The sequence below is a fragment of the Homo sapiens genome, chromosome 4, assembly GCF_000001405.40.
Source record: "Homo sapiens chromosome 4, GRCh38.p14 Primary Assembly".
Taxonomy (NCBI): Eukaryota; Metazoa; Chordata; class Mammalia; order Primates; family Hominidae; genus Homo; species Homo sapiens.
This window is the reverse complement of record NC_000004.12, coordinates 68,265,939-68,288,607: the sequence shown is the minus strand read 5'-3', so window position 1 is coordinate 68,288,607 and position 22,669 is coordinate 68,265,939. Positions and strand designations below refer to the sequence as shown.

Sequence of the window (22,669 nt, the reverse complement as noted above, 5' to 3'; positions counted from 1 at the left end):
GTGTTAAGCTTGATATTGCTATGCAAGGGTGCAGCCTTGGTATGCTCACATGTCCTGTAATAATGGTGGTTGCAGGAGGACATTCTTTGACTGCCTCTTCTACGGCTGAACCCTGCTGTTAGCCTTCACAAGTTGCTGATTGAGTGCTCTATTACTTTTGATAATGGCCTGAGAGTATAAATTGTTCCACAGTCTGATCCAATAAAATTCAGTGATTCTTTTGCAGCGATAGTTTTTGAGGTCAGTATTTGATCATTGCTCAGACCCCAGGAAGATTTTTTTCAATCTGTATCTTTGGTTTCCTCTAATAAATTAGTTTGCCTGTGGCTTAGCATTTATGTGTTCTGAAGCTAACAGCTTCCTCTTAATTATTTACCAGAAAGCCTCCGTGTTTTCAGAGCACTCTTAGGATTACAATTTTCACACTGTTTCAAATAAAGTAAGTTCCTTTGGGAAAACATTTGTAGCTCTGTGTTTATGGCCTGACTCTCCCCTGTGCAGAGTGTCTTGACCTTGACTATAGGACTGGGGGCATGGACAGTGGTGCATTTCTACTTTGGCCTTTATTCTCAGTTTTCCTCTCCTCTCATGGAATCTCCAACTGGGATAGTGGCTATTTGGTACTCAGTGTTCATGAATAGAACATCTGTGTTATGACAGTGGCTGGATGGAATATGGGAGATCCTTCTTAGCCACACTTGCCTGGAATTTAGCCTCTGTAACACATACTTGGGTATGTGCATGAAAAATTCAGGGCAACGTTGCCTCCCAACAAGATACCATAGTCCTCAACTGGGAGCTTCAAAAGTGGGAGCCCTGTGGTATTGTTTATACCTCTCTGGAATGATGGAGTTTCTGTTACCATGAATTAGGAGGTGGACAAATGAGCATGTTGTGGTTTAATTTCACCAAGAAATAGTGGAGTTTCTTCAGCACATATTTCTTTATTTGTTGTATGTCCTTAGGACAATTCTTAGAGACTGCAAATTATTTAAAAAAAAAAATCACTAGTTACTCCTGTTTTACTTGGGAGCTGGTCCATGGGACTTCCCATGCCATGATACCATTTGGAAAGTGACTGGTACAAGATTTTCTTGTAAAATATCTCTACTGTCTGCATATATTGTAGCAAAAAGCAATCAGGGAGCTAAAAGTACATATTTCCATATCAGAAAATGATAATTAAGCATATGTGAAAATTAAGGAAAAAACCTCACTTTGTTAAAGGTATATTGCTGTATGGTTTTTTGTTTGTTTCTGTTTTGATTTTCTAATAGCAAGTAGAATGATTTTAACACATAATGCCAGGTTACCAGGCTGGGGGATGGTTGAATGGGAAGTAACTGTCTAATGTGTACAGATATTCTTTTAGGGGGATGAAAATTCTTTGATTCTAGATTGTAGTGACAGTTGCACAACACTGTGTATGTATTAAGTGCTACTGAATTATTCACTTTAAAAGGGTTATTAATAATATTATTTATAACAAATAAAATGAAATTTTATTGTATGTGATTTTACCTCAATTATTAAAAAAAACACGTGGTTGGTCAGATTTGGCCCAAAGGCCTCAATTTACCAGCCCTCAGTTTATACCATAAAGTTAATTCCTACTTTTGAAGTAGCATATGCTCGTATTTTTATCATTTGTATTTGAAACATATTACATTTAAAAAATATATTAGGTAATGAAAGTAAGAACTAGAATCATTGTGGAAATTTTTCTCTTCACTTAATAATAATTAAAATAAATGCAAATTTAAGTTGCTATGTACAAGTTTAGTGCTTTACCAAGTTAATGCATTCATCCTTTCATCACCCCCATGAGGTAGGTAATGATGAGGGTCCCACACTGCCAGTTACAAACAGCACATTCTACAGGGATATCAATTTTACAGTATGATTTCAGTGCAAAAGTTAAAGAAGCCCAGAAATAAGGCTCACTCTAATAGGTATTATACAAGTATTGTTCTGGATATAAGCAGAACTCTTAGGACTATTTCACAGAAATTGCAAGCCAGAATACCAGACTTCTAACTGTCAGCAACTCTTAACCTCCAGCTTTTAAGAGGTATTTTAGGGGAAATGTTTAAGAAATTCCTGCAATTTTTAAGGTGAGTTATAAAAGATCATAGAGATGACAAAACCACAAGTAACTTTTCCACACTGCTTGTAGTCAGACAAGTAAAGCCAAATGACTCCAAATTAAAAGTATTCTCCAGAAAACTTACATAGAATAAACACAAGTGATTTGGTAAAAGTATAACAAGATAGAATTAAAACTGAATTTAGAACTAGCTGTGATGCCTGCTTTCAGGAATCTATATTAGTAATTAGTAACATAAATTAGGCATCTGAGTACATTATTGTCTAACATTATCTCTCCCTGACTATTATATACTAGCTCTATTTCGTTTCTTTCTTACACATACACACATACAAACATTTACATAATATGCCTAATAGAGGCCATCTATTTCAGATTACACAACTCCTTCCAAAGAAATTGAGTGATTAAGTCATTTTAAAAATAGCCAAGCTCTATTAATTCCTGGTAATATAAAATTTATCTTCTAAGTTATTTGTATCAATCCTTTCTATAGCGTTTGCTGTGGTCTTACTCTTTTGTGATGGAGAAAATTCTTTCTTCAAAGGAAATGGAAGATGTGGTCCTCAGCTCTGCAGAAAAATGGTGTTGGTGGTGTTTTCTGTGGGATCAGTGATTAGAAACATGAAAGAAGAACAGGTCAGAGTGATTGCATCAGCACTTTCCCAGATCCCACAAAATGTTAGATGAAGTTCCTTAATTGAAGACAGCTACTGAATGAGTCTATAAAGTGTCTGATTGTAGAAATCACCTCTGTAAAAGGTAGACTGTTGGATAGCTCTAATTTATCTCAGAAAGCACTTAAAAACATATATATGGTTTATATATACGTATATATATTTGGCACATGCTAAGATAACTGTTTTTTATCGATAACTTTGGCATTAACATTGTGATTAGAAATAAAAATCTTTACAGGTATAGCATATTATACAGTTGATATTATACTTGTGTTACAGGTAGGGACAGAGAAATCACCAAATTCTGCCCGTCTATTTCCTCCTTTTCCTCACAGCATTCCTGAGGACACTGGAAATGCTACAGATGTTATTAGAAAAAAGTTAAATTTAATGAGCCCCTGTACTAGCAAAATAACCCTAAGCTTGCATTTAAAAGCCTCTGAATCGCATCACAGTTTAAGCTTGCCATGTTATCCCTGCCTCTTTTACATCACCGAAATGTTGGAACAGAGCTATTCAGTGTGCTGTTCAGGGAGTATGCAGAGAAAAAAAGTTCAGGGCTCACTAACTTTGAGTCTAGGTACCAACCAACCCAGGTAGATTTAGAGAAAGAGAAAACCAGCCTGAATTGGTGAACCTGAGCTTGCCAATGTTTCAAGCAGGAAGAAGTAAGAGAAAGGGTGAAGATGGAATCCTGCCCTTAAGATGAACCCTGTGTATTATAAAATGTGACCTCACAAAGATTCTGCTTCCAATAAACGCCTTCTCCTAATGGAGGAAGAAGGGAATATAAGAAGCAGTAAAGTGGAAGCAAGCATACCATAGGAAGAGGTTCAGATGCCCTCAACTTCAAAAAATATATTAGTAATGTATTTTCTAATGTATAGAGTACTCCTCTGGTCTTTAGGTATTTGTGAGCTACTTTTTAAATTTTCTGTCTGCTATTGCCTTCTAATTACCTATACTAATTTTTTTGCTGAAAATTTGAATTAACTCTAACACTCATATACCAAGTAAAAGTTAAAAAAATTGTCTATGGTACTTCAGTTTATAAGGATCTTGGGAATTCCAAAATCAGTACCTTATTTTGGGCCTGGGCATGGAAATGACTTGGCTATATGAAATCATATTAATCACTGACGTTAATGCTTTGTAGTACATCATCAAAGTGTTAACTGTCAGTTCAACAAAATTAAGCATCATCACAATTTTGAATTTTTTAAACAGTTATTACAAAAGTAATAACTTTTGAATTAAGATTGGTCTTTTGATTAAACATTTGAAGGATTTTCAAACTCAGCAATCATGATGATACTCGAAATTTATATTCTAAATTACCACTTCAGATTTTTCTTGGAAGCAGTGTTTAATACTTTGTCATCTAAAAGAAGTTACACTTTTTAAAAATCAGAATTATTTTATTTCTCACAAGCAGATGATTTCATAGACATGCTTTTCTGTAAGTTAAAATATTTAAAACTTTAATAAAATAATGTATAGAACAAATAATATAAGTCAATGCCCTCCAGCACAACTCAAAAAAATTAAGAGGTTATATTAAGTTGGAAAATGAGAGCTAATATAAAAAATAGGTACATAAAACAAAAACAAGTATAGCTCATTAGAAATTTGCTACAATTCTTTGCATTACAATTATAATGATGTTTAACTCTTTCTTAAATATTTAAATTTGTCATTGATAATCTCATTTGTTTAAGAAACTATTTGTGAAACATCAAGGTTACATTTCATACCTTAATTGAATATAAAAGTAAGTACGAGAAATGTGAGTATTCCTATTTACATCAATGTTTTAACAGTTCTCATTACTCACCCTGTCTTGTCCTCATTTCCTTGTCTGTCATATGAAAGGCGTTTAACTATGCGATCTCTTAATCTCTTTAGAATTCCTGCATGCTATAAGGTATTGTCAATAAGGTATTTTTGGAAGGAAACCAAATACCTTAAGATCCAATACTCAGTGGCATAGGTGGATCCCACAGAATGAATGTCTTCATAAGACATGAAAAAAGAAAATACTGAAAACATGAGTAATAGCCAGAGTGATAATAAACAGGAAATAATTTATTAAACACTTATTAATAAAAAATTTAAAAATAAAATTAACTTCTTCATATTTATTTTCTAGTTTTAGAGAGGAAAAGACATACTTTAAGGGGTTGTTGTTGTTGTTTCCTGAGATAAGGTCTTGCTCTGTAGCCCAGGCTGAAGCATAGTAGTACAATCATAGATTACAGTAGTGAGCCTCCTTTCTCAGCCGCCCCAGTGGCTGGGACTACAGGTGCACACCACCATGCCCGGCTAATTTTTTTGTAGTAACAGGGTCTCACTATGTTGCCCAGGCTGGTCTTGAACTCCAGGCCTCAAGCGATCCTCTAGGCTCAGACTCCCAAACACTGGGATTCCAGAAATCAGCCACTGTGCTCAGCCTGGGATGGCACTTTTTAACCCAGAGTCACATTCTTTATGGCCGGAATCAAAGTACCTTATTTCAAATGCAGTTACATATCACAGAGGATTTTTTGATAACTTCCTGGATTGTCACACTGTCCTTTGTTCTGCAGTCTTACACCTATCTCCCCTACTGCCTCTGAAAAATAACAACACCTCTTTTATTATGAGAGACTGCATTTTCTATGAGAAAATACTTGACAACTTTATTATGAAATGATAATATATTTCATGATAAAGTGTGGCCTGTCCTTCCTCTGATTCCAGCATGCCCACTCAATTCCCTGTTGCCCTGCCCTACATATCACTTTCAGTGTGACATCAATGTTTCTTTAAGATAATGTATTTTTCTTTTGCTTCCCTCTCCCTTTCTCACACTTGCTCTTTATTTATTGTGAATGTGTTCCTTCATTTTCTCCTTCTGGCAATCTCACACTCATTTTTCAAGTCTCAAGTCTCATGTCACACAGTACCTTTTTCACGTAGCCTTCACTTACCTCCCCAGTGGGCTTAGGTGCTTCTTCCTCTGAGATCTGAAAGCAATATCAGTGCAGTTTCATGCATGCAATAACTTGTTCATAGAAAACACTTTATCTTTCATTGCCTTATATTGTGCGTTTCTCATCTTATTTCTCAGATGTACAATTAGTAATCTTGCTAAAAATCACACAATCCTAGATCATCCCCAAACCAAAGCCTTTATAACTTATGGTGGAACAATAGCATCTATGAGATGATCTACCGTGGAGTCCCTCCATGGGCATTCCTTTGTTTGCGGACCAACATGATAACATTGCTCACATGAAGGCCAAGGGAGCAGCTGTTATATTGGACTTGAGCACAAAGTCAAGTACAGATTTGCTCGATATATAGAAGACAGTCATATATAACCCTTCATGAGTATAATTTTTTTTTTACTCTATGTGGGGAAAAGAAAGAGAAATCAGACTGTTAATGTGTCTATGTAGAAAGAAGTAGACATAAGAAACTCCATTTTGTTCTGTACTAAGAGAAATTCTTCTGCCTTGAGATGTTGTTAATCTGTAACCCTAGCCCCAACCCTGTGCTTGCAGAGATATGTGCTGTGTTGACCCAAGGTTTAATGGATTTAGGGCTGTGCAGAATGTGCTTTGTTAAAAAAGTGCTTGAAGGCAGTATGCTTGGTAAAAGTCATCGCCATTCTCTAATCTCAAGTACCCAGGGACACAATACACTGTGGAAGGCCGCAGGGACCTCTGCCTAGGAAAGCCAGGTATTGTCCAAGGTTTCTCACCATGTGATAGCCTGAGATATGGCCTCGTGGGAAGGGAAAGACCTGACCGTCCCCCAGCCCAACACCCGTAAAGGGTCTGTGCTGAGGAGGATTAGTAAAATATGAAGGCCTCTTTGCAGTTGAGATAAGAGGAAGGCATCTGTCTCCTGCTTGTCCCTGGGAATGGAATGTCTCGGTGTAAAACCTGATTGTATGTTCTATTTACTGAGATAGGAGAAAACAGCCTTAGGGCTGGAGGTGAGACATGCTAGTGGCAATACTGCTCTTTAATGCACCAAGATGTTTGTGTACATGCACAACAAAGCACAGCACCTTTCCTTAAACTTATTTATGACACAGAGATCTTTGCTCACATGTTTTCCTGCTGACCCTCTCCCCACTATTACCCTATTGACCTGCCACATCCCCCTCTCCGAAATGGTAGAGTGATCAATAAATACTCAGGGAACGCAGACCCGTGCCGGCGTGGGTCCTCCGTATGCTGAGCGCTGGTCCCCTAGCCCCACTTTTCTTTCTCTATACTTTGTCTCTGTGTCTTATTCCTTTTCTCAATCTCTTGTCCCACCTGACCAGAAACACCCACAGGTGTGGAGGAGCTGGCCCCCTTCAATTTACATATTTTACAGGAAGGCCAATGTGGCAATAGTATGGCTGAAAATGAATACAGTAGTAAGTACAAATTTGCTTAATTTTTGTCAGTTAGTTTTTTTCCAGTGGTTTTAGTGAAAAAATTTGTAGGAGGTTTAAGGATAGTGGACAAATTTTGAAATAGCCTCAAGCAGAATGAAAGGAATTACTGAAGTTTGTCACTAAATGATTACAGAAAGCGTTGAGAACAAAGTTGAAGTAGGGAACCATGAATATTATAATTACTAATCTGCAGAGTTATCATTTTCTTTCAGCATGAAAACTTTTCAAATGTTTTAAAGTCTTCTAAAGTGTTTTAGGTTCCAGTAAAGGAACACAACATAATCAATCACTAATTCCCATTACATTTGATGCATCCTGAATTTCCTATGTGAATATTTTGATCCCTTCAATGATAAATAATAAACAACCAGGGATTTCAAATTTACCCAATTAAAACTATTGAAAAAAGAGGATACTGCGTATAAATGTAGGCATATTCTTAGCTCTTTTGGTTGTGGTTTTTTGTCATATCTGAAGAATTATAAAATCACGAAGTATTTTACTTGGAAGAGATAAGTTGGAATTTTCCTGGTTAAAAGGCAAAATTTCTGAAACCAAAAATATTTTGTTTCCAAATTATTCAGTATATACATTAATTTCAGTTATAATATTACTATTATTATTTTTAATCTTTTTATATATATATATATATTTTCCTTCTGTTTCATAATGACCTACATAAAAATACAACATTTTGTTTGAGGGTATATTGGCAATAATAATACACTGAACATGAAATGTTTTTAAAGCTATGTTACTTTAATTTTAGCACAACTGATGTTCATCCTACTGAGTACCACGAGAAGCATGTTTTCTTTTTGTTTTTGAGAAACAAATATATCTTTCACTTAGTGGTTGAATGTAAAAGTACATCTCTCTAGCATAGATGTCTTTCTACACTTGTTGCTTTTTAATAAACCTAATGCTAGTGTACAAAAATGAAAATAATTTTTTTTTGAGACAAGGTCTCTCTCTGTTGCCCAGGCTGGAGTGCAATGGTGCAATCTCACTCACTGCAACCTCTGCCTCCTAGGCTCAAGTGATCTTCCCACCTCGGCCTCCTGAGTAGCTCAGACTACAGGCACATGCCATATGCCACAATAAGTTTTAGTATTTTTTAATTTTGTAGAGACAGGGTTTTGCCATGTTGCTCAGGCCGGTCTCCAACTACTGAACACAAGTAATCCACCCACTCTGGCCTTCCAAAATGCCGGGATTACAGGCCTGAACCACCATGACCAGCTGATAATTTCTCTACTAGCTGATACATATTGAATATTTATAATATGAAAGATATTGTATTAGTTTTTTAATGTATTAAGTAATTTCTTCATTTCCCCATTAAATTATAAAAATATAACAGGATTAGTACCCACTCTCAAAAACCCAGTTCTCCCACTCTGTTTTTCAAATAAGAGGAAATGATCTCCATTGATATTGCTGTAGTGCCATTCTATAGCATTTTGTGGTTCAACGTTTGCAAGCCATATCCCCATTTACACCTGTTTTCATTATCTGTCAGTTTATAATCAATTTTTTTTTTTTTTGAGACAGAGTCTTGCTCTGTCGCCCAGGCTGGAGTGCAGTGGCACAATCTCGGCTCACTGCAACCTCTGCCTCCTGGGTTCGCGCCATTCTCCTGTCTCAGCCTCCTGAGTAGCTGGGACTACAGGCGCCTGCCAGCATGCCCGACTAATTTCTTTTTGTATTTTTAGTAGATATGGGGTTTCACCATGTTAGCCAGGATGGTCTCGATCTCCTGACCTCGTGATCTTCCCGCCTCAGCCTCCCAAAGTGCTGGGATTGCAGGCGTGAGCCACCGCGCCCGGCCTCATAATCATTTCAATAGTAGAAAGAGATGCAACTGCAATGCCTCAAAGTAAAATGTTGAGCACTTTCCAGATGCTAAAATAAGAATACTAACAAGAAAAACAATAATTACAATACCAAACATTAAGTAAGAGTCTACTATATAATAGAAGTCTACTACATAATAAGAATAATTTTAAGTATTTTATGAATCAATACATTATTGCTCACAATAATCAAATAAGAAATATACTTTTCCTATGTGTTACACTGAATAAAAAACTGAGGAACAGAGAGAGTAATAAAAACAGATAAGACAACCCACCTTCTCATATTTAAAACTTAATTCACTGTTATAAGGTCAACATCAAATCCTGGTCAGTACTAACTCCTGATTAGCCCTATCTGGATGTGGCCCTGCACCTCATCACAAACTTGCCTTCTACCTCTGGATTTTGATACTGTTTTGAACCTTGTATAGCCTTGAAGAAAGTCAAACCTGGAAGTTATACTTCCAGACATCTAGACTACAGTGGTATTACTGTGAGGATAGACAGATATATCTATAGAAGAGAGGTCGGAGACCAGAAACTGACACATACATCTAGTCACCTAATTTTATGACAACTACACAACTACAATTTACTGGGCAAACAATTTTGCTTTTCAACAAGTGATTCTGAATTAATAGAATATACTGTTGATATGGTTTGGCTCTGAGTCCCCACTCAAATCTCATCTTGAATTGTAATTCCTGCATGTCCAGAGAGGGATCTGGTGGGAGGTGATTGGATCATGGGGGCAGTTTCTCCATGCTGTTCTTATGATACTCAGTGAGTTCTCACAAGATCTGATGGTTTTAAAGTGTTTGGCAGTTCACCCCCTCTCCTTTTCTCTCTCTTGCTGCCTTGTGAAGAAGGTGCTTGCTTCTTCTTCACCTTCCACCGGGATTGTAAGTTTCCTGAGGCTTCCTCAGCCACGAGTAACTGTGAGTCAATTAAACCTTTTTTGTTTATAAGTTACCCAGTCTCCAGCAGTTCTTTATAGCAATGTGAAAACAGACTAATACACCTGTAATCCAAAAAGTGACTGAGGCAGATCTCAGTGGATTCAGAGATCTATTTTACCAAGGTGGAGGACATGCCTGGGAAAAAGAAATACAAGTTACAGTAGGATCTGTGGCCTGAGTTTTTTCAAACAGGGTTTTGGGAACTTCAATATTTAAAGGGAAAAGAGCAAGCAGGAGGGGAAGGAAAAAAAAGGGAGGTAGGGTAGGCAATGAGTCAATTCTTGTGAAGCTCTGATTAATGCTCGGTGAATATACATTTTACATTTGGAAGGAAGACTGTGGGGGAAAGGTCAATTATGCATTTGACTTGTACTCAGTAAATCTACATTTTATGTAAGAGATAAAGTAAGCATATGAAATTACAGCTGTCTGTTTGGGAACAAAAGGCAAGTAGGGTTTTGTTTTTTTTTTTTGTCTTTTTGCTTTTTGTGATTTTTGCATGACTCAGTGGACATCCAGGCATTTCCATACGTCCTCTGGAATCTAGGCAGAGGTTCCCAAACCTCAATCCTTATATTCTGTGCACCCACAGGCCCAACACCACATGGAAGCTGCCAAGGCTTGGGGCTTGAACCCTCTGAAGCAATGGCCCAAGCTGTATTTTGGCACCTTTAAGACATGGCTGGAGCTGGTGCAGCTGGGATGCAGGTCACCAAGTCCTGAGGCTGCACAGAGCAGCAGGGCCCTGAGCCTGGCCCAAGAAACGTTTTTTGCCCTGCTACGCCTCAGGCCTGTGATGGGAGGGGCTGCTGTGAAGATCTCTGACATGCCCTGGGTATATTTTCCCCATTGTCTTGGCTATTAACATTTTGTTCCTCATTACTTATGCAAATTTCTGTGGCCAGCTTGAATTTCTCCCTAGAAAATGGATTTTTCTTTTCTACCTCAGTGTAAAGCTCCAAATTTTCCAAACTTTGATGCTCTACTTCCCTTGTATTAATAAACATAAGTTCCAATTTCAAATTATCTCTTTGCGAATGCATACAACTATACACTTTCAGGAAAATTCAGTTCACCTATTGAATGCCTGCTGCTTAGAAATTTCTTTGGCCAGATACCCTAAATCATCTCTCTCAAGTTCAAAGTTCCACAGATCTCTAGGGCAAAGGCTGCCTGTCTCTTTGTTAAAGCATAGCATGAGTGTGATCTTTACTCCTGTTCCCAATAGTTTCCTCATCTTTAACGGAGACTACCTCAGTGTGGACTTCATTGTTCATATCACTATCAGTATTTTGGTGAAAACCACTCAACAAGTCTCTAGGAAGTTCCAAACTCATATCTTCCTGTCTTCTTCTGAGCCCTCCAAACTGTTCCAAACTCTGCCCATTACCCAGTTCCAAAGTTGCTTCCACATTTAAGTATCTTTACAGCAGTGCCCCACTCCTGGTGTCACTTCTCTGTATTATTTCATTTCCACAATGTTATAAAGAAATACCCACGATTGGATAATTTATAAAGGAAAGAGGTTTAATTGACTCACAGTTCCACATGGCTGGGGAGACCTCAGAAAACTTACAATCATGGTGGAAGGCAAAGGAGAAACAAGTACCTTCTTCACAAAGTGGCAGAAAAAGAGAGAGTAGAGGAAACTGACACTTAGAAAACCATCAGATCTCATGAGGAGAACTCACTTACTATCATGAAAACACCATGGGGAGAACACCAACCCCATGATCCAATCACCTGCCACCAGGTTCCTCCCTCAACACCTGGGGATTACAATTTGAGATGAGATTTGGGTGGGGACACAAAGCCAAACCATATCAACAATGAGCATGAGGATAAGAATGTAGGAGAATAACTTCATGGCCTTGTAGTAGGGGAACATTTCTTAAACAGGACATAAAAAGCACTCACCATCAAGGAAAGTGTGACAGTTGGCCTTCATTAAAATTAAGAACTTCTGTTTATGAAATGACACTGTTAAGAGAATGAAAAAGAAAGCCACAGTCTGGAAATATATATTTGCAATATATACACTGGATGAGGATAACATATCCAGAATATATAAATTGGAATCATAGAATTCCATGTTAAGGATAGAAGCAATGTCATAGTGAATCTAGCTCTGGTTTAGCCCAATCTTTTGAGCCATAAGGAAAAATGCTGGTGGATAATATAGCTGAAAATAGAACATAAGCCACAGTGTTCAAAACACCGGGCTATTTTATTATATTTGCAACAAGGTCTAATAAGGATTATTCAAAGACTTAAGTAGCTTAAAAAAACTTACTTTGAACTATTTTCTGACTTATAAAAAGTTGCAAAAATAGAAAAAGGAGTTTCCTTATATTTTTCACCCCACTTCTTCTAACACAAACATTTCATATAACCATAGAATAGTTATTGGGAACAGCAAATTAACATTAGTAGAATATTAGTAACTAAAACATAGGACTTATGTGAAATATTAAAAATCTGACACTTGGATATGCAAGGGTGTACTAATAATTTCTTTCACTATTTTCAACATAGGCCAAAACCCACTGATCTCATCCTTTGAGGATTAGAATTCTTTAAAGTTTTAAAAGAAAGACACTTATTCTTTACATCCTAGAGTTTACTTTTACTAAAACTAACCTGATGCCTGTAATCCCAGCACTTTGGGAGGCCGAGGTGGGTGGATCACTTGAGGTCAGGAGTTCAAGACCAGCCTGACCAACATGGTGAAGCTCCATCTCCACTAAAAATACAAAAATTAGCCAGATGTGGTGGGGTGTGCCTGTAGTCCAGCTACTTGGGAGGCTGAGGCAGAAGAATCACTGGAACCCGGGAGGTGGAGGTTGCAGTGAGCCAAGATCATGCCCCTGCACTCCAGCCTGGGCGACATAGAGACACTCTGTCTCAAACAACAACAACAGCAACAACAATACAAAGCAAAACCAAACAAACAAAAAACAAAACTAGAGAAATAGTGTATGGCGGCCCAGCGCAGTGGCTCACGCCTGTAATCCCAGCACTTTGGGAGCCCGCGGCTGGTGGATCACGAGGTCAGGAGATCGAGACCATCCTGGTTAACACAGTGAAACCCTGTCTCTACTAAAAATACAAAAAAATTTAGCCGGGCGTGGTGGCGGGCGCATGTAGTCCCAGCTACTCGGGTGGCTGAGGCAGGAGAATCGCTTGAACCCAGGAGGTGGAGGTTGCAGTGAGCCGAGATCGCGCCACTGCACTCCAGCCTGGGCAACAAAGTGAGACTCCATCTCAAAAAAAAAAAAATTGGTGGGCATGGTAGCACACGCCTGCAGTCCCAGCTACTCAGGAGGCTGAGACAGAAGAATTGCTTGAGTCCAGAAGGTGGAGGCTGCAGTAAGCTATGCAATGATTATGCCACTACACATCATCCTGGGCAACAAAACAAGACCCTGTCTCAAAAAAAAAAAAAAAAAAGAGAGAGAGAAAGAAAAGAGAGAAATTGTTTCCAAACTGTGATATTTGTAAAATTTATCAGAATTTGATAATTCTGTCAAAAATACAATGTCTTGAGCACCATTCCCAGACTCAAATACATTGGTCTGGGGGGCAGGAATTGGATTCTGCTTTTTAAATAATCATTTGCTGGTGGATTACTCTGTTAAACATGACCTGAAAAGTACATTTGACAGAAATCAATTGTTTCCAAAGAAGTTCTTGGGAGGTTTAGTATTTATGAATTTTCCTTCAAAAAAGGAGGGGTGGTGGCTGTCAGGCCTCTGAGCCCAAGCCCGCACGTATACATCCAGATGGCCTGAAGTAACTGAAGAATCACAAAAGTAGTGAAAATGGCCGGTTCCTGCCTTAGCTGATGACATTACCTTGTGAAATTCCTTCTCCTGGCTCAGAAGCTCCCCCACTGAGCACCTTGTGACCCCCGCCTCTGCCCACCAGAGAACAACCCCCTTTGACTGTAATTTTCCACTACCTACCCAAATCCTGTAAAACGGCCCCAGCCCTATCTCCCTTCACTGACTCCTTTTTCGGACTCAGCCCACCTGCACCCAGGTGAAATAAACAGCCTTGTTGCTCGCACAAAGCCTGTTTAGTGGTGTCTTCACACGGATGCGCGTGACAGTGGCAGTGAGACAAATGATTACATACTTGTGAGACATTATTTAGTGCCCAGTAAATGAACAGTTTACATAAGATAGGTGAACATTTGAGGAAAAAAGAGAATAGAGGGAGCAGATGTCTCAGGGGAAGGTGAAGGAATTATTAATCTCATCTTACCTTTGTTCTATACATGGAAGACAATTTAGCAGTCTTTTGAAGAGGCTGATTTCTGTTTAGTTAATTTATTACCTAGTATAATGCCTGTGTGACATAGCTGAACTTCTACCTCACTGTAACTTTCCTTATTTTTAGAAACAGGAAGGCATGCAGACAGAAGTTCCTCCTCAGGAGAATTGGTCAAAAACCAGTTAGAATCAAGATGGCTGACTGAGTGGCCGTAAATATATCTCAGACTTCATTATAATCCAATTTTCATGCTAAGTGACACTTCCAGCCGGGTCATGATAGTTAACAGTCGCCATGACAATGACCAGAAGAAACCATAAAAGAACAAGAACAAGGTTGGACTCTGGTTCTGATATCACTGCCCATTTCCAGAAAGGATATGAATATTCCTCCCCTCCCTTTTAATGTCCAAGCCTTTCCTTAAAGAGACTCTACATTTTAACTCCTCACCTCTCACTAGGTGAGAAGTTGATCTGTGAGCCATGTTCCTGTTTCTCCTTTCTTTGCTCCACTCGATGCTCATGTTTGGTTTTGTGTATTGGCTCTGCAATACCAAACAAGGAAAGATCCCACTTTTGGGACTACCAAGTTTATTGGGACTACTTAGGGAAGAAAACCTAATGACAGTTAGCAAGGGAAGGGTTATGATGAGGCATGACTGATCTCCCGTCCCATTATGGTTGTGAATGCAGGTTTTCTCTGTGGTTCCCTTTGTCAAGAGGAAATCCATTCAGTCAGTTGTGGGGGCTTAGAATTTTATTTTTATTTCTCAAGTCACAACCCTTTACTGACACAAAATTCTTTGAAATTTTTTCATAGAGAAAACTTACTAGTATGAAGGTGACTGTCATATATCTGGCATTCACCTACAATGGTAGTTGTGAAAAAGAACTATTACAGCCTAGCACAGCTCTGAGCAAATGTATTGAGATTCTTGTAAATCAGAATTTTGCTATATTCATATCTATATCATTCAAAAGTATACATAGCTTTGAAATGAGATTACCACCACGGCTGACAATGTAAGCTCAGTTTTGTTCTCTGTTGATAAATCTCTGATACACTGAAAAATTCTAGTTTAATATGGCTGTGTTAGAATAAGAAATATGTTTGGCAATCTGGTTCCAGGCACAAAACTCCTAAAACCCTTGGAATTTTCTGAGTGATAGAAGTTTCTTTTGTTATTCATAATGAGCTCCTTAGATTCCTGAGGCTGAGTAATTTCAGTGACCTTAGTACCCAGTTAGTACAGCACCAAAGTGTTTGTATCTTCCCTTTTCGCCTCCACTCATTTGTAAAGTACTATGCAAATACATATCAATAGTCAACCTTAACTTTCTTTGGTGAACAAATTCCGTATGGGCATATGGAGATGCCACTCCTGCAAAAACAAGTTTCTAGAATTCCCAGGAGAACTAAGAAAATAAAATACTACATTTTGGTTTGTTTGTTTTACTTTTTGGGGGAGTTTTGCAAAAATCAATTACAGAGTCAACTCAATTAGGTCAGTAAAATTCTTGTTAGGTGACATGTGGATCCAAAAGCATAGCAGCATAAATATATCAAGCAAATACCACCTACATTGTTTCTACCTCTATTTTGTGGAAGCTGAATCCTGGTAGTTCCAAAGAGTAGAATGACTGACAGCTAGCTGTTCCTTACAGTTCTGTCATTTTAGGCAGACACAGCCATCAATGAGCCATGACCTAGGAGGGACTATTTCTCAAAGAGCAGTAACATTCCTCTGTAGATGGCTGCTAGTCAAAACAGCAGCCCACATTTTCTTCCCTGTCTGCCCACAAGAGTTTTTTCAGTGGTTGCTAGTATTGCTTCCTTTTGCCTTCCCATCTCTATTTCTATGCACGCCTCTGACCGAAAAGACATTTATGTTCAATGACTTGAAAACCTTTTCAAAAAGTAATTTTGGTAGGCAAATGCCATAAATAAATTTTTTTTCTTTCTTCTTTTTTTTTTTGAGACGGAGTCTCGCTCTGTCGCCAGGCTGGAGTGCAGTGTCGCGATCTCGGCTCACTGAAACCTCCGCCTCCCGGGTTCAGATTCTACCGCCTCATCCTTAGTAGCTAGGACTACAGCTAATTTGTGTGTTTTTAGCAGAGACGGGGTTTCACCATGTTGGCCAGGATGACATTAAAAAGGTTTTCTTTAGTATGGATCTTTCTCACTTGTTTTAGAGTAACTGGAATTACTAGGGATAAAATCCAAAGAAAATTCTCAGCTCTTCACTTAAACACTGTGGTCATCTCCCTCTAAGTTCTTTGATTTTTTAATTTATTTTTTTCTGTCCTTACACACCATCTAGTGGACATGTGGGGTAATGACTAAAATGTAAGTGGTAAGAGCAAAAAGTCCTGAATCGTCAGTGAGCCAGTTTTTGAGTAATGAAATAATCCAAATAACTAAGCTTTTAAAACTGACTATTAGTTACTTAGTTTGGGTTAAAAAATGTTCCCTTTCTTTCCCAAATTTCATAATGAGAGCAATGCTGACATTTTAATCAACAATGAGAAATTTGTAACGAATGTAACACATCCTCTAATATTTTCTCAAGGTGCATCCTTTACTAAAGATGATAGTATATTGATTAATTGGTTTAAAAATAATGAGTTTAAATAAAATATTTTATCAGAAAAATAAAAACTGTAGACTTTTAGTTCACATGACTTTACTTATGGATTTGGACTTTTCAGTTAATGATGGAATATGTTAAGACATTGGGGGGACTGCTGGGAAGGCATGATTGGTTTTGAAATGTGAAAAGGACATGAGATTTGGGAGGGCACGGGGGCAGAATGATATAGTTAGGCTCTGTGTCCCTACCCAAATCTCGTCTCTAATTGTAATCCCATGATGTGGGAAGATCTGGTGGGAGGTGATTGGATCATGGGGGCAGTTTCCCCTATGCTGTTCTCATGATTGTGAGAGCGTTCTCACAAGATCTCATGGTTTAAAAGTGGGTTTCCCCTGCGTGCTCTGTCTCTCCTGACACCATGTAAGACATGTTTTGCTTCCCTTCCACCAGGATTGTAGTTTCCTCAGGCCACACCAGCCAGAAAGAACTGTGAGTCAATTAAACCTCTTTTCTTTATCTTGGGTAGTTCTTTATATCAGTGTGAAAATGGATGAATACAGAGAATTGGTACCAAGAGTGGGGTAATGCTATAAAGATATTTGAAAATGTGGAAGCAACTTTGGAACTGGGTAATGGGGAGAGATTGGAACAGTTTGGAGGGGCCAGAAGAAGACAGGAAGATGTGAGAAAGTCTGGAACTTCCTTGAGACTTGTTGAATGGTTTTAACCAAAATGTTGATAGTGATATGGATAATAAAGCCAAGGCTGAGGTGGTCTCAGATGGAGATGGCAAACTTATTGGGAACTGGAGCACAGGTCACACATGCTTTTTTTTTAGCAAAGAGACAGGTGGCATTTTGCCCCTGCCCTGGAGATCTGTGGAACTTTGAACTTGAGAGAGATGATTTAGGGTATCTGGCAGAAGAAACTTCCAAACAGCAAAGCATTCAAGATGTGGCCTGGTTGATTCTGAAAGTGTTCAGTCATGCGAGTTCACAAAGAGATGGTTTGAAATTGGAACTTCTTATGTTTAAAAGGGAAGCAGAGCATAAAGGTTTGAAAAATTTGCAGCCTGACCAAGAGGCAGCTAAGAAAAACCCATTTTCTGGGAAGGAATTCAAGCTGGCTGAAGACATTTGCATAAGTAACAAGGAGTTGAATGTTAAGAGCCAAGACAATGAGGAAAATATCTCCAGGGCATGTGAAAGATCTTCACAGCAGCCCCTTCCATCATAGGCCTGGAGGCCTAGGAAGGAAAAATGGTTTCATGTGAACTGGGCTCAGGGTCCCCCTGCTCTGTGCAGCCTTGGGACATGGCACCCTGCATGTCAGCTGCTCCAGCCATGTACAGCTTGGGCCATTGCTTCAGAGTGTGCAGGTCCCAAGCCTTGGTGGCTTCCATGTGATGTTGGGCCTTTGAGTGCACAGAAGACAAGAGTTGAGGTTTGGGAACCTCCACCTAGATTTCAGAAGATGCATGAAAACACCTGGATGTCCATGCATAAGTCCGTTGCAGTGGTGGAGGCCTCATAGAGAACCTCTACTAATACAATGCAGAGGGGAAACATGGGATTGGAACCCTCACACAGGGTCCCCACTGGGGCACTGTCTAGTGGAGGTGTGAGAAGAAGGCCACTGTCCTCTAGACCCCAGAATGGTAGATCCACTGACAGCTTGCATTGTGCATCTGGAAAAACCACAGGCACTCAACACCAGCCTGTGAAAGCAGGCACAGGAGCTGTACCCTGCAGAGCCACTCAAGGCCATGGGAGCTCACCCCTTGCACCAGTGTGCCCTGAATATGAAATATGGAGTCAAAGGAGATTTTGGAGCTTTAAGATTTAATTAGTGCAGAGTTGGGTTTCAGACTAGCGTGGGGCCTGTGGCCTCTTTGTTTTGACCAATTTATCCCATTTGGAATGGGAACATTTACCCAATGCCTGTATCCCCATTGTGTCTTACAAGTAACTAACTTGCTTTTGATTTTATAGGATTATAGGTGAAAGGGGCTTGCCTTGTCTCAGATGAGACTTTGGACTTGGACTTTCGAGTTAATGCTAGAATGAACTAAGACATGGGAGACTTTTGGGAAGGCATGATTGGTTTTGAAATGTGAGGACATGAGATTTGGTCAGGGGAACAGGGGCAGAATGATATGGTTTGGCTCTGTGTCCCCATCCAAATCTCATCTTAACTTGTAATCCCCACATGTCGAGGGAGGAACCTGGTGGGAGGTGATTGGATAATGGGGGCAGTTTCCCCATGCTGTTCTTGTGATAGTGATGGAGTTTTCATGAGATCTGATGGTTTAAAAGTGGCAGTTTCCCCTGCGTGCTCTCTCTCTCGTGACACCATGTAAGACGTGCCTTGCTTCCCCTTCTCCTTCCACCAAGATTGTATATTTCCTGAGGCCTCCCCAGTCATGTGGAACTATGAGTTAATTAAGCCCCTTTTCTTTATAAATTACTCAGTCTTGCATAGTTCTTTATAGTAGTGTGAAATGGACTAATACATACATTTATCTTTTAAAATAGTGCAACAGACCTTTCTGGAATCCTTTAGTCAATTACTCTTCCATATAACACAGAAACAAAGCAATGGTTAAGAGAAGTAGAAGTGAGAGATATCACATCTGAGTAAAATAAAATAAGGAAACAAAAGAAGAATTGAGAAGTCAAAGAAAATAAAAACTAATCTATATTTTTTATAGAAAGAATAAATTAACCTAGTAATTTTATAATGAATTACCTATATAATATGTTGTTCATGCTATATATTCATCTCAATTTGTACTATGTGTAATACACTATATGTACTATATGTACTATGTGTAATACACTATATGTACTATGTGTAATACACTATATGTACTATGTGTAATACACTACATGTACTATGTGTAATACACTATATGTACTATGTGTACACTATATGTACTATGTGTACTATATGTACTATGTTTAGTGGTACACTAAATAGGAATACAGAGCAGAATAGCATAAAGCAAAGCAGAAAGCATAAATATATCTTAAATATATTATTTATCGATCAGGAAAGATAAAATAATTAGTCGTTAACAACTCAGCGTATTGCAAACATAGCACCTGCTGAAGAAATCTAACAACAAAACTCTCCCAACCCAGAAGAAACCTCACAAGTAGTTATGGTTAATATAAACGTTAATCAGAGTACTTTGCATTATTAATGTAAGTACTGATTTGCAGTCATGAATATGTAATATAAATAGATAAATCTGCTCTTGGAGTCGACAAGCTAACCACTTTTTTTGCCAGCCTGTAGATGACAGTCATCATCAGACACCAATTTTGGAAAAACTGACTGACTTTTGACTGGGAGGAGTTCTGTACAGGGCCGATGGCCATGGCAGGCCAACATATGAGGGAGAAGCCAACACCACTGTGGAGCCTCTCTAATCATCAGGCAGTGGCTGGTGAATGTAGCTTCTTGTTTTCTTGAGTAAATTTATAAACTTGGCTCAAGTTCAGAGACATTGAGTATTAACCTAAACAGTATTCAACCCACCAGTTCTGTCTGTTGTACTAAAGGTAAAAGGCTAAATGTTAGAGTTAAATGAAATTCACAAATGACCTCATAATGGAAGAGCAGATAAAACATTTTGACTTGTTTTTATAAAAAAGATGTGGGTTTTTCTTGCCTGCTTCCCAGATAAAGTTGATTTATCAAGACAAGGGAATTGCAATAGAGAAAGAGTTTAATACACGTAGAGCCAGCTAAATGGGAGAGCAGAATTTTCTTATTACTCAAATCAGCCTCCCCTCAAATTCAGATGCTAGGGTTTTTTACAGATACTTTGGCAGGCAGGAACTAGGAAATGGGGAATGTTGATTAGTTGGGTCCTCTTGTGCTGAGTCAGTTCCTGGGTGGAGGCCACAAGATCAGATGAGCCAGTTTACCAGTCTGGGTTGTACCAGCTGATCTATCAGAACATAGGGTCTAAAAAAATATCTTGAACACCAATGTTCGGTTTTGCAGTAGTTATGTTATTCATAGGAACAACTGGGGAGGTTGTAGCCTCTAGCTGCATGACTTCTGAGTCATAATTTCTAATCTTGTGTCTCATTTGTTAGCTTTATGAAGGCAGTCTGGTCCCCCCAGCAAGAAGGCAATTTGTTTAGGGAAGCGCTGTTATCACCTTTGCTCCAAAGTTAAATTATAAACTAAATTCCTCCCAGAGTTAGTTTGGCCTATGCCCAAGAATGAACAAAGGCAGCTTGGAGGTTATAGGCAAGATGGAGTCAGTTAGATTAGATCTCTTTCACTGTCATAATTTTCTCACCATTATAGTCTTTTCAAAGGCTGTTGGCTCTCTTTGAATACACAATACATAATACTTATTATGTGTCTGGAAATTTAGATATATCTTTTTAACTTCGTCTTCACAATTTTCTATTTTTTAAAAACGAAAAATGAGACTCTGAGAGTTTAAGTAATTTGCCCAAGGTCATATAGAATGTAAACAACCCAACTCAAATTTGCAGCCAGATTTTCAGAGTGTATCTTCTTCCACTTTACCATATTTTCTTCTTCTCTAGGAATTTAGAATAATTAAAAGAGTAGAGCAGGCAATGGCAAGGACTCTGGAGCAGATCTTCTGGGTCTGAATTTCACCTGTCACATACTAATCATGAAATGCTTGGCAGGTTATTTAACCTCTTCATGCTTCAGTTTAACAATCTATAAAATAACAGGTAATAATACCTACCTCATAGCGTTGCTGTGAGAATTGAGTTGATATATGGAAGAATCACAGGGCGTTAAGGTGCTTAAAAAGGTCTCTCTAAAAAGCTAAAATCTGAGCTAGATCTTGAAAAATGGGTAGGATTCATTGGCAGGAAAAAATAGGGTGTTTTATGAGAACTGTAAACTAAAAGTAAAATCCTAAGCCTCTCCCTTAGCCAAGGGGAGAAAAACCTTAAAAACTGAATTCCTGGCCTGGCACAGTGACTCACAGCTATAATTCCATAGGTGGATCATGAGGTCAGGAGTTCGAGACCAGCCTGGCCAACATGGTGAAACCCTGTCTCTACTAAAAATACAAAAATTAGCTGGGCATGATGGCAGATGCCTGTAATCCCAGCTACTTGGGAGGCTGAGGCAGGAGAATCACTTGAACCCGGGGGGCTGGAGGTCGCAGTGAGCCAAGATCACGCCATTGCACTCCAGCCGGGGCAACAGAGTGAAACTTCACCTCAATTCAAAACAAAACAAAACAAAACAAAAAAAAGACAAAACTGAAATCTTGGCTATGATGTGAAGGAAGGTCAGACATGCTGCCTTATACTCTCTCCCTTTTGCAGTTTAGGCATAACAGCTGACTAGCATTAATGTTAAAATAGACATCTTAAGACTGACATAACAGATACTTTGCTGCAGTAAGATAGTAAATTATAAACAAGTCCTAAGGCCATGCAAGGCAAGTGTGAAGCCTCACCCACAGGCCATCAATCTTGCCACATCCTTATCTTGCTACATCTTTATCTTGACTTAAAACATTTAAAACAATTTGTTCTGCTGACTTTAAGTTTTAGAGAGAACCTTACTCCTTTAATCAATTGCAAATTAAAGAATCTTTGAATCCACCTATAAACTGTAAGCCGCTCCCCCTTCAAGATATCCCACCATTTTGAGGTCAAACCAATGAATACCTTCCGTGTATTGATTAATATCTTTGCCTGTAACTCCTGCCTCCCTAAAATGTATGAAACCAAACTTTAACCACCTT

General features: G+C 38.7%; 3 annotated features.

Annotated features, from left to right (window-relative positions):
- Positions 10,734 to 11,276: an enhancer, noted in NCBI's record as "H3K4me1 hESC enhancer chr4:69143050-69143592 (GRCh37/hg19 assembly coordinates)". NCBI's record gives its function as "activates a minimal SCP1, AML or CMV promoter by ChIP-STARR-seq in primed H9 embryonic stem cells {active_cell/tissue: H9 hESC(primed)}" and the evidence as "EXISTENCE:reporter gene assay evidence [ECO:0000049][PMID:30033119]".
- Positions 15,438 to 16,012: an enhancer, noted in NCBI's record as "OCT4-NANOG-H3K27ac hESC enhancer chr4:69138314-69138888 (GRCh37/hg19 assembly coordinates)". NCBI's record gives its function as "activates a minimal SCP1, AML or CMV promoter by ChIP-STARR-seq in primed H9 embryonic stem cells {active_cell/tissue: H9 hESC(primed)}" and the evidence as "EXISTENCE:reporter gene assay evidence [ECO:0000049][PMID:30033119]".
- Positions 16,013 to 16,588: an enhancer, noted in NCBI's record as "OCT4-NANOG-H3K27ac hESC enhancer chr4:69137738-69138313 (GRCh37/hg19 assembly coordinates)". NCBI's record gives its function as "activates a minimal SCP1, AML or CMV promoter by ChIP-STARR-seq in primed H9 embryonic stem cells {active_cell/tissue: H9 hESC(primed)}" and the evidence as "EXISTENCE:reporter gene assay evidence [ECO:0000049][PMID:30033119]".